Source organism: Homo sapiens, chromosome 4, assembly GCF_000001405.40.
Source record: "Homo sapiens chromosome 4, GRCh38.p14 Primary Assembly".
NCBI lineage: Eukaryota > Metazoa > Chordata > Mammalia > Primates > Hominidae > Homo > Homo sapiens.
Window position 1 is genome coordinate 187,777,445 of NC_000004.12, and position 12,345 is coordinate 187,789,789.

General features: G+C 39.5%; 1 annotated feature.

Moving 5' to 3' along the window:
- Positions 11,480–12,076: an enhancer, noted in NCBI's record as "H3K27ac-H3K4me1 hESC enhancer chr4:188710078-188710674 (GRCh37/hg19 assembly coordinates)". NCBI's record gives its function as "activates a minimal SCP1, AML or CMV promoter by ChIP-STARR-seq in primed H9 embryonic stem cells {active_cell/tissue: H9 hESC(primed)}" and the evidence as "EXISTENCE:reporter gene assay evidence [ECO:0000049][PMID:30033119]".

Genomic DNA, 12,345 nt, shown 5'->3' on the forward strand with positions numbered 1-12,345 from the left:
AAAGGTCACTTATTAGATAAAAGTCTAAAGGTCCTCTAAGTTCTTGTTGTCTTGAAATCACTCTACCTACCACGTTATTAATTTGGAAGCCTATTTTTCCCTGTTTTGGCCAGAAAAAATTTAAAACTTACAGCAAGCTTTTGAAATCAGTAACAGTTCTTTTTTCTTGTGTCTATAGGTCTGTTTAATTGTCTAGTTAGTGTAGGTGAGAAATGGCTTTCAAAGGTTATTTTCAGGGTTGGTGTTTTGTTGTTATTGTTGTTATTTTTCTTATCCATGCACTGCAGACAAAGCATTTTTAATTGTCAGATAAGCATACCTTTTCTTGTTGTTTTCAGTTCAAGATTTTGGCCAAAGCAAAATAGTGGTTTAAAAAGTAGACTTGGTTAATCTGTGTTGCAGCTCTTCACTCTTGTTGTTTGGCAAGTGGGAGGGAGTGTTACAGCTCTTTTATTCCCACCATGGGCAAGCGCCAGGCTCTTGTCCCATGACAAGGAAGAATAAGGCACATGGACACCAGAGAGAGTGAGGCAGAGTCAGATTTACTAAATGATAGAAAAGCACTTAGCAGAGAGAGGACCCGAAAGCCACCCATGAGTCTGAGTTTGGGGGTTTTTATGGACTGCAATGTGAGAGGAGTGTGCTGACTGGTCTGCAAGCTGTCTTGGAGACAGCACCACTCAAAAAGAGGTATGATAGTGTAAACAGCCAATTGAAGGCAGAGGTGAAGGCTTGGCCTGGGACGTTGGCCTGGGACAAATCAGTGGCTGAAGTGATGATTCACTCTATGTAAATGAAGATTCAGCTTGTTGTCAATCACAGAAAGGTAGGCGTATATAAAATAAGTGAAAAGTAAGAGACTAAGGTGCACCAAGGAGAGAGAAATGTGTCCAAAAAGGAAGTGGAATTTGTTCATCTGGGTTCACAGAGTAGGTGTTTCCATTCAAGGATGCTGGCTCCTTCTTATCTGGGGCCTGCAGTTTGATTTTCAGGCTGTTCTTGGTTTGAAGGAGTTTTACCAGGGACCCACCCTAATTGCCTGCCTGACTGGTTTCTTCCTTTCTCCTCTCTCATGAGAGTCATCAACAGATTCAGAATAAAAGTTGTATGTCTACAGTGTATTTATTGCTGATAGATATGTCTGCTTAAATTAAACCAATAGTATTAAACTAGTATTATTTACCAAAGATTTACCCAAGTAACATAAACTTAGAAAGCATTTGGGTTAGTTCCTATATTTTATCATCTTTAAGCATATATTTTATATGAGTACTCATTTATGTCTTTAGCCAATTAAATAGACTATTTTAAGAGATTTTATATCATATAGACATAATGTGCAAGTATACATATACACATGTATAAATATACACAAACATACAGATAGACACAAACAAATATCTTGTAGCTTTTATTTTTAAATTTTAGTTAAGAGACAGGTATAATAGTATAAAACTTACTAGTCTATAAAAGGACAGTTAGATCCATTAGAAAGAACAGAGATGCCTCAAAATATATATTGATAGATTGATAGGCATAGCCTGAATATCAGCTTCCAATTAAACTAACTTTTGACCATAGACCTCTTTATTAAAAATATTCTTTTCAAATATTTTTATTATCAAATTTAGCTGGGGCAAACAGCAAACAATTCTGCTTCCTAGCTTCTCGTTCCCTGAAATTTGCATTTGAAAAGGGATGGTTTCTTGGTAAAACTGATTAGGAAATTTATATCTCAAAGGCTCAGGGAAATACAGTTTTCACCAAGAAGGTATTTTGGGGAGGTATATTTGCCTATTAAAGGTCTAGGATAATTGCTATTCAAAATTCCTTTTTTAAAAAGTGCAAGAGAGCCCTGTTTCCTGATGCTTTTCAGTATCAGATAACATCCTGAGGTGAATAGGTGAGGTTTGGGGTTTTCTTTGAATTGCTTTAAAGCAATTAAATTTTTGTTTTTGTAAAGACTCAATTTGTAAGACAAGAATAGTTACTTTTTTTTTTTTTGAGATAGAGTTTTGCTCTTGTTGCCCAGGCTGGAGTGCAATGGTGCAATCTTGGCTCACTGCAACCTCTGCCTCCTGGGTTCAAGCGATTCTCCTCCTGCCTCAGCCTCCTGAGTAGCTGGGATTATAGCCATGCGCCACCACACTTGGCTAATTTTGTATTTTTACTAGAGACTGGGTTTCTCCATGTTGGTCAGGCTGGTCTTGAACCTACAACCTCAGGTGATCTGCCTGCCTCAGCCTCCCAAAATGCTGGGATTACAGGTGTGAGCCACTGCGCCTGGCCTAAGAATAGGTACTTCTAATTCCCTTAAGAATTGGGTGGCAGCCTGAATGATTTTAAGGGACTGTCCCATCTATCCAACTATATTATCTTTAACTTATTTCTCTCTATCAAGGAGCAGATTTTCAACTAAGATGAAAATCAAAAGATCTTTCTGTTCCAGATATAGACTTAATTACCTTTGAAATGTTTTAATATTTTTTTTTCTGAATATATCGTTCCATTTTAGCTAAGGAGACAAGGCAAAAAAAGCAAACAGAAGTTTCTGTAAGAACGAAGTTTCAAACCAAAGGTATACCTGGAAAATGACTCAAGGCAAAATTAATACTTAAGACAAAACCAATAAGACTTTAAGGCTTTAATTAACATCTCCAAAAAAAGAGCAAAAATATGCATCCCTTTCAAAATACAGACCCTCCCAAAAAACAGCCAAAAGCGAGAAAACCTTTGCCAGCCACAAATAGGGTACAACAAACATTTTCCTCCAGAGACATTCTTAAGTCTCCCAACCTTTTGGCTGGCTGCCTGCAAACAAAGGCCCAATAACCTGTGGGCCTTTGGTGGATGCAAAGTCATAAAGACAATAGTCAGTAAGACAAAGAGAAAGACAAGCTTGCCATTAGGTGTAGGGGGAAGGATCACTAATGTAGGGGCCAAGGGAAGACTTCCCCCACTTATTGTAGGGACAATAAATGATTACCAGAGAGAACAAACGGATCAGGGAGCAGAGATTAACCTGTAAATGATCCTCCTTGGAAACTGAGCCTGAAAGAGGGACATTATCTTGTGAATGGGTCTGGTCAGGTGTGGTTCCATTCTTCAGTCTTCTTTTCTATAATAAATAATAAGATGACATGGAGGGGAAGGAAACACAATTGCTCCCTGTGGTCTTTATGTAGGTGGGGAAGGTCTGCCAGCATCTGTTGATCTGTAAGGGCCCGTAATTCAAAATACTGATTATACCAGGGAGCCATATTTTAGAGTAAAATTCCCTGCACTCCTTTACTAACAATAAGCCTTTATATGACTTAAAACCACAGATGCAAGTATCAGGTTCCAAAGTGGGTGCAAAAGATGCAGCCCCTCAAGATCTAAAGTTTTTACCTAAGATACCCTAGGAAAGCAAAAACTCTCATTATTAACAAGGTAACGAAGGTTGAGGCAATTAAGACAAACTCCTGAGAGCTGGCATGGTGAGACAAATGTTTGGACTTCTAGCTAGCCGGCATAAGTACAACAACTTGTGATCCCCAGGCTGGCCCAAGATACTACAAAGACTAACCTTTGAGACACAGCAGGGACCCCCTATTAGGGCCCTGAGAGCCCCCCAAAAAGCATGGAAATATGGAAAGATCTTGAGTTCCTTCAAAGGAAATTCCAGGCACATAGCTAGCCCTGAGAAGTAAATAAACAACTTATTAAAGGAGATAATAGTAGCCTGAAACGATGGCCAAGGAAGCTGGGGTCAGGAGATGTTTGCTTTCCCTATGGAAACTAAGGATGACATCTTAACATATGTCCCTGAGTTGTCTTTCAGAAACATGGACCCCCACCAGGATCCCCACAGAACAGATTCACTGGCATGTAGACCTCAAATGAGGGAGAACTGAAGGCTGAACTGTGACCACCACTCTTTGTCCCAAATGTCTTCCTGAGAGGCCTGGTGGGAGTCACACCCATGAGCTGGTTAACATTCTTTTCTGCTGATCCCTAATTTTAAAATAAAGCTTCTCTTCCTTAATCAATTGCAAATCAGAAAATCTTTGAATGTGCCCATGACTTGTAAGCCCTTGCTACAGGATTTCCCACCCTTTTAGGCCAGAACCAATGTAACCTCCATGTATTGAATTATGATTTTTCCTGTAGCTTCTACTCCTGCCTTGAAAAATTCTTGCCTGCAAACCATTTGGGAGGCCAGGATTTGAAGATGAGCTGTCTGGTCCTGCTTGTTTGGCACCCTGAAAATAAATGACTTCCTTTCTGCCACTGCAACCTCAGTGTGGATATCTGGTTTTACTGTGTTGGGTGAGTGGACTCCAGTTCTGTAACACCTTGCTGGTTACAAAGCCAAACTCTCAAAACATAAAGAAAAACAAAAGGAAGATATTTTCATAATTTTCCTCCTTAAGACAAACCACACAAAAGACAGAGATAAGGAAAACAAAGACCTCCTGGAAGGCTAAAGATCAATAACTAGGCTGGGCTTGGTGGCTCACGCCTGTAATCCCAGCACTTTGGGAGGCCGAGGCAGGTGGATCATGAGGTCAGGAGATGGAGACCATCCTGGCTAACATGGTGAAACCCCCTCTCTACTAAAAATACAAAAAATTACCCGGGCGTGGTGGTGGGCACCTGTAGTCCCAGCTACTCAGGAGGCTGAGGCAGGAGAATGGCATGAACAAGGAGGCGGAGCTTGCAGTGAGCCAAGATCGCGTCTCTGCACTCCAGCCTGGGCGACAAAGCGAGACTCTGTCTCAACAAAAAAAAAAAAAAAAAGATCAATAACTAACAGGTGCCCAAACCAAATCCACAAGAGTCACCAATTCAAATAATTAATTATTTTTTCAAAATCATTTTTTTCTGTTGCAAATTTGAATTTAAAAAACAAAAAAAATAGGAGTTTTGTTTTTTTTTTCCTTTCTCTCTCAGCGAGGCACTACACATAGAGATACGAGAGAGCTCACTTTGGTAAAAATTCTCTTTTTTCTGCCAGCTTCTGCCACTTCTCCCAGGATCACATCTGCAGCTGTCAGGGCAAGTGGAGTGTGCCAGAATCTCTTGGCTAGATCACCAAAATCAAGCAGAGAAAATAAAAATTTTAACTCAATCCTCCCAAGTTCACAGTTGGAACAGACTCCTGTAACACGAGACTGATTAACAAAAGAAAAATAGGTGACTTATTAACACATGCAGTGCACATCACCTGTGAGAAAAGGAACTCAAAGCAGTGATCTAGGACTTACATAAACAAAGAACAATAAGTTTTATACAAGTGACAAGACAAAGAAAAGCAGCACCAGACTTCCAAACACCAGAAACTGTGGGAAGGTAAATATATGGAAATACACTAACGAAGTAAAAATCTGCTCACAGATTCCTCTGAGCCATTTCTGAGCTGATGAGCGTTGGAGTGGAGAATTTACATCCGTGTTTATGTGAGAAAACAAGGGAAGGATAGGAAAGATGTTTTCTTCTATCAATCTCTGTCCTGCTTTTAGGCAAACAGAGAGGGAAGGCAGAGACTCTTAGTTGAGAATCTAAGTTGTCTTAGAGAATCTTAGTTGTCTTCAGTTCAACAATATTTATGTCAAAGAGGCATACTTTGAGGTGACACATTCTGGTTTCCTTCAGTTCAAAGACCAGATTTTGAAGGAAAGACATGACTGATAAAGATTATTCAGGGATTTGTTCCTCTCTCTTTAGTACAAAATAGCTATAAAATTTATGCTGTTCACAAATGCTGGGGGATTTGAAGAGTTGCTGAATTTTGAGCCAAGGACATGTGTATGTATATAAACAATGACATGTATATATTTTTTCTTTTTATAAACTTGTAAATTTCTTGAAATCCAAAATAAATTCATATAAATTTGTCCTCCAATTGTGACTTCTAAGAAATATTTATTAAATGAAAGACATCCTAACAATGACACTAACTCGTCCTCCAGACATCATTACAGTTGGCTCCTTGTCATCATTTGGCCCCCAGTGCAAATGTTCCTCCTCAGCAGTGCTATAGAAAGCAGCTCCACCTTCCCTAGGCACCCTCTACAGTATCATCTATTCATTATTTAATTGTTTTCACAGTATTAATCAGAACCTGAAATTATCTTATTCAAGTATTTGGTTACTGACATGACCACTCTCCTTCATCCTGGAAGCATTATGATAACTAAGACCTGGTATGTTTTCTTACCATTCTACTCCTAGTCCCTTGAACAGTGCCTGGTATATAATAGGTAAATACTAAATATTTTTCGAATGAAGGAAGGGATAAATAAATGGGTTCAGTAGAATCCATTTCACTCAACGGAATCCAACTGAAAACATACTCTCTAGTCAGCAAGGTTTTTAACATGCAGATTAGAAGCTCTGGGGAGGGGTTGATTGTATCTAGGAGGATGTACTTAAATTTCTTCTTTGGGCATAGGGGCTTCTGGCAAATTTTGTAGCAAATTAGTATTTCTATTGGAATCCTAGTCAGATATTTCTGAGTTTTAGACCTAAGTAGTTTTCACATCAATTATGAAAGATAAAATTATTTCAAAAGATACTTGAATTCAAATCTAGTATATAGAGTGAATGCATTTTAAAAGTTAAAAAAATAAGAAATTAGGTTATATTTGAAAGAATCTCAGCTGAAGATTTTTGTGCTTTTATTACAAAGGAAGAGGTACCACTCTCGCCGGTTTTACATCTTGCATTTTAAAAAGTTAAGTACAGCCAGACACGGTGGCTCACACCTGTAATCCCAGCACTTTGGGAGACCAAGGCGGAAGGATCCTTTGAGCCCAGGAGTTCAAGACCAGGCTGAGCAACATGGTGACAAAATTAAAAAATAAAAATAAATAAAAATGTTAAGTAGTGATACGAGAAAGGAGCAGGAAAGTGCTGGGTTGAGAAAGATGGGGTCCCTGGTGAGAGCTTCACTCTCGAGCCTGTGCCCACGGACCCAAATGAGGACAGGCATTTCTGATTTTGTGTCCAAAAAGTTGCCCTTTGGCCCACGACACCCCCCATCCTGTGCCCATAAAAACCCAGGACCCAACAGGCACATACACAAGTGGCTGGACATTGAGAGGAGCAGAAGAAGACACACTGGCAGACATCAGCAGGCCAGTGATAATGGAACGACACAGATGCTGAGGGGAATTCGGCCAGGTCCAGTCGAAGAAGAGTCCAGTGCTGGGCAGCCCGACTCCAGGGGAAGGCCACCTTTCCACTCCATCCCCTTTCCAGCTCCCCATCCATCTCACTGAGAGCCACCTCCACCACTCAGTAAAACCCAGCACTTGTCCTCCAAGCCCACATATGATCCAATTTTTCTGATACGCTAGAGCAAGAACCCGGGATATAGAAAGCCCTCTGTCCTTGCCATAAGGCAGAGGGTCTAATCGAGCTGATTAATACAAGCTTCTGCAGACAACAAAGCTGAAAGAGTGCACTGTAACACGTGCCCACTGGGGCTTCGGGAGCTGTAAACACTCAACCCTAGACACTGCCATGGGGTCGGAGCCCAGAAATGCTCCCCACAACCTGCCTGCCTGCATGCTCCCCGTAGGGGTTTGGGCAGCAGGGCAAGCCATGCCCCTGTCACATGCCCTGAGAGGGGGGATAAGGGAACTTCTTCTGTTTTAGTAGGAAGTACTCGTCTAGCTTTCCTACCAGTTAAAAATAAAATCAAGGTCTTTTGGCTTGTGTACAAAAAATTCATCAGGATTGTAGTTATTGTAATGCTTATTAATAATCTACAATGGATCTTCAGTTCAACTCAAAGTCATGATGGACACTGTTTGGCCTCCAGCTATGATCTCAGCCTTAGTGTTGAAGAAAGCCCCTGAAATACGGGCAGACAGTGATATTCAGAGCCGCATGTAAAGAGCCTTTCGGAAATCCCCTTTGCTCTGCCCTGTTTCATTCCACATCCGTCTGCACCTTAGCCAGCATTGCATCTATTCTAACTAATTGGTTCTTAAAATGATAAAGCAGAACAACAGATAACAATAAGAAAGTCCTGGACTGTGGGCGCTTCTATTTGTAGAGAATGGAAGACTAACTGAGCCTATCAATATTTTAGTCTCAAGAGCATTACCCCTGGACAGTATAATGCTGCTAACTTGTCTAGAGAAGTATCATTGTACGTGCTAAGTAATAGGAAGAATATGTCTAGCATCAATTATAAGTTGCAATTCACACTGTGCAGGGTGCTCTTCAAAGCCGCAATACCTTCATCCTTACACAACTGTAAATCATGATTTTATTTCAGAATAGGGTCTCTGCTTTTTTACTCACTTTGAAAAGAATCTGACACAGTGTGAAAGTGAACATTTAATAAGTACTTCCTTCTACACCTGCACACAGGGAATGGATGATAAATGCTGTTGTCTGAGTTTATCATGATAAGACGAGGCACAATGGAGAGACAATTAATGAATATCCTTTGATTGATGATAAGACAAGCAGTACAAATATGGATTTTTCTTCTTTTGCAGCTCTTCTCAAATAGCTCTAAACAAAAGCAAAACATGCTCTGGCCACAGAAAAGACTTACGACACAAGATTATTTCTTATTGCCATTAATTTCATCTTAATAGACATTATTAGCTTATTACACAGATTATATTATATTATATTTGCATAAATTTATCACATAGCTTATTATGTGCCACACACCATTTACATGCTATATACATGCAAATGTGTTTAGTCCTCAAATCCACCCTAATAATAATGATGGTGATAATCATAACATACTATTATGATTCCTATTTCTACAGATGAAGAGAATGCACAGAGAGAAAGTATCTTGTCAAAGAGCATGGTGCTAGTAAGTGTCAGAGTCAGGATTTGAACCTAGGTAGCCCAGTACCTGAATGTGTGTACTTACACTATTTATCATTTATTTATATTTATTTATTGTATTTATTTTTATTATTTATTATCATTTATTTATTTTTATTTTTATTTTATTATTTATTTTTATTTTTTATTATTTATCATTCATTTAATATCATTTAGTGTAGGAACACCAAATGATGTAGTGAAGTAATTTTCTTTAACATGCTCAACACATAAAGGACTTCACACTATAATAAACCCAGAGATATTTTAATGAGCTCCATAGGAACATATCTCTAAGTTAGTCATTTAACTTAAAATCCCACTGTACCTAGCTTCCACTATTAGTAAATCAAAGAGTGTTCTATCAAAAAATTCCTTTTCTCCTTACCTCCAACCCTCCTTATTTCATAGACCTTGCCTACCACACTTTCTAAATGGAGATGTAGTCCCAGTTGTATTTCTACTGTTCAGAGAGCGAACAGGCATCCGTCTCCAACTACAAACTATACACTTGTGCTACGTGACTGAGAACAGCATGTGGATGCAAGTTCACCTTGGAATTCCACCACAATGAAGCTGTTTGTGAGCCGCTTTCTGCTTAAAGAACACTTTAAGTTTCCTCAGTAAACATCTTTTCATAATGTGAAGGTAATCTCAAATTTTATTTAATACTAAGTAGGTCATAAAAAGTTAGAGTTTATAAGTTTCATTTGACCATTTCTTGTTGAAAAGATTTTGGAAATGAGGACATAGGTCTTTCTTGAGGCAGAAAGCATTATGGATATAAAGAAAAAGATAAAGAGCATAGGGTCAGAGAGACCTCAGTTTAAATTTTAAACACATCTGAGCCTCAGTTTGCACATCCTTAAAATGGGGTAAATACTACACCTGACACACATAAGGTTTATCTGTAATGTGCAAATTAACAATGTCCTTGCCAACATAATATTTAAAAGTCTGCTTTGTTCCCAACCTTGTTAGAATTTCCATTTGGGTCTTCTGCACATTATTTTTCAATAAAATGCTGATTTTTCAGTCCTTGACCCTCTTCTCTTAACTCTTGGTAGTAAAATAAATCTCTACTCAGACAATTACTAAAGTTCCATCTCCAGCCTGGACCTCTCCCATGAAATGTGACTCATATATTCAACTGTCTGCTTCACTTCTCTTCAGAAATATTATAATATAATAATATTATTATAATGGTGTAATATATAATAAGTATCTCAAATGTAACTTCTTCAATACTACACTTTTGACTTGGACACTCAACCATAGTTCATGCTGCAGTCTTTCTTATCACAATAGATGACATCTCTTGCTTCTTAGTACACAGTCCTAAAGCTCTGGAGTTGTCCTTGAGACATTTTTCTCTGAAACTTATATCTTGACAACAGCAAATTCTATCTATTCTACATGTTTAAAAATATTTGGCTGCTTCAAGGTCAGAAAGATATTCTCCTATTTTTTTCTTATAAAAACATCACTGTTTAATCTTTCATTTTTAGATCTGGAATTATTTTTGTGTGTATTGTGAGGTAGAAGCAAAATACATTTTTTGTATTGATTTCCAACTGACCTACAGCCATTTATTGAAAGGGTCATCCTTTCTCCCACTGCCTTTTTTGTCATAAATCTAGATTCTCTACTCTTTTCCGTTGGCTTTAGCCATTGGCATACATAGTTAAGATTTAATTACTATACCTTTATAATTGGCATTTATATCTAAAAATGTAAATCTTCCAGCTAAATTCTGTTTTCCTTGACTATTCTTGATCATTTGCAATTTCATAGGAATTACAAAATGAGCTTGTTAATTTATGTAAACACACATGCATACACACCCTGCTAAGATATAGGATTGAGATTGTGTGGAATTCCAGATCAGTTTAGAGAGAATTGACAAAAATGGGCACAAGACTGAACCAGCACTTAAGAAGAGTATATCCAAATGACCAATAAATATATCAAAACTTTATTCTTCGTCAGAGAAATTAAAATTAAAATCATATTAAGATTCCACTACATATTTGCCAAATGTCTAGAATGAAAAACACAGGTAATACCAAATGTTGGTAAGAATGTAGAACAACTAGAATTCTCAGGCAAAACTTTGGAAAAGCATTTGGCCGTGTCTACTAGAAATGACCATATGTATCTCCTATTTCTTGGCAATTTCACATCTAAAATATGTGCAACAGAAGTGGATATTTATGTCCACCAAATATGTATGTATGTTTGTGGGTTTGTGTATATACATATATATAGAAAACTGAATGAGAGTCAACAATAGGATGGATAAATACATTGTGCTATAGTCATACAATGAAATCCAATACAGCAATGACAATTAACAAGCTACATCTATACAAAGCAGTGCTGATGAGTCTAAAATCATAGTAGGCAAAATAAGTTAGACCCAAATAATACATTTTGTATTATTTAATTTATATATATTTCAAAAGCAATCAAAACAAATTCATGGTGATAGAAGTCAGCATAGTTGTTCCCCCTGGGGAAAAGTGATTCAAAGAGACACAGGATGAGCCGGGTGCGGTGGCTCATGCCTGTAATCCCAGCACTTTGGGAGGCCAAGGTGGGTGGATCACCTGAGGTTAGGAGTTCGAGACCAGCCTGGCCAACATGGTGAAACCCTGTCTCTACTAAAAATACAAAAAATTAGCCTGGTGACTCATGTCTGTAATCCCAGCTACTAGGGATGCTGAGGCAGGAGAATTGCTTGAACCCAGAAGGTGGAGGTTGCAGTGAGCCAGGATCACACCACTGCACTCCAGCTTGGGGGATGAGTGAAAATCTGACTCAAAAAAACAAAAAAACAAAACGAAACAAAAAAAACAGAGACACAGGATGGCTCTGAGATGCTGGCAATGTTCTGTGTGTTATCTGCATGCTAGTCACAGTGATGGCGGTGGCAGCCCTTCTGGAGCAGCCTCTGCGGGACACCAGCTGCAGTGGGGGAGGTGTGGCCGGGGCTGCGTGCTACACAGAGTCAGCCAGGTTGGGAACAAGTGGGAGCCCCACCCCTTACCAAGTTGGCAGGTTGGGAGCCCAGTGCTCTGGGAACAGCTGCAGCCACCCAGCCACGGCTCTGGACTCGGCATCCCTGCGGTCTCAGTGGCCCAGGAAGCCGCCCCCCTCAACCAACAGACTTGGAATTGCCTCCTCCTGTTCCCTGGTGTTTCCCTGCTCCCATTGCCTCCAATTTTGGAGCAAAGTTGTGGCAGAGCCAAAGTGCTTTGGCAACCTGGCCATGTATGTGTACGCTCAGGGCAGCGCTGACACACCAGCCCCCTGCCACCTCAGCCCCCTCTGGACTTTGGGTGTCAACAAGCATGGGAGGGAGGCTGAGGGGACGCTGAGGGTGGCTCAGCATGGGCCTGCAGGTGCCCCTCAGCAGGAACAGCCTTAGTGCTGTGGATGGCATGTTGATGGTGGCAGGAGGCAGGCTCCTGGGTGGAAAGGCGTGGGTCCCCAGTG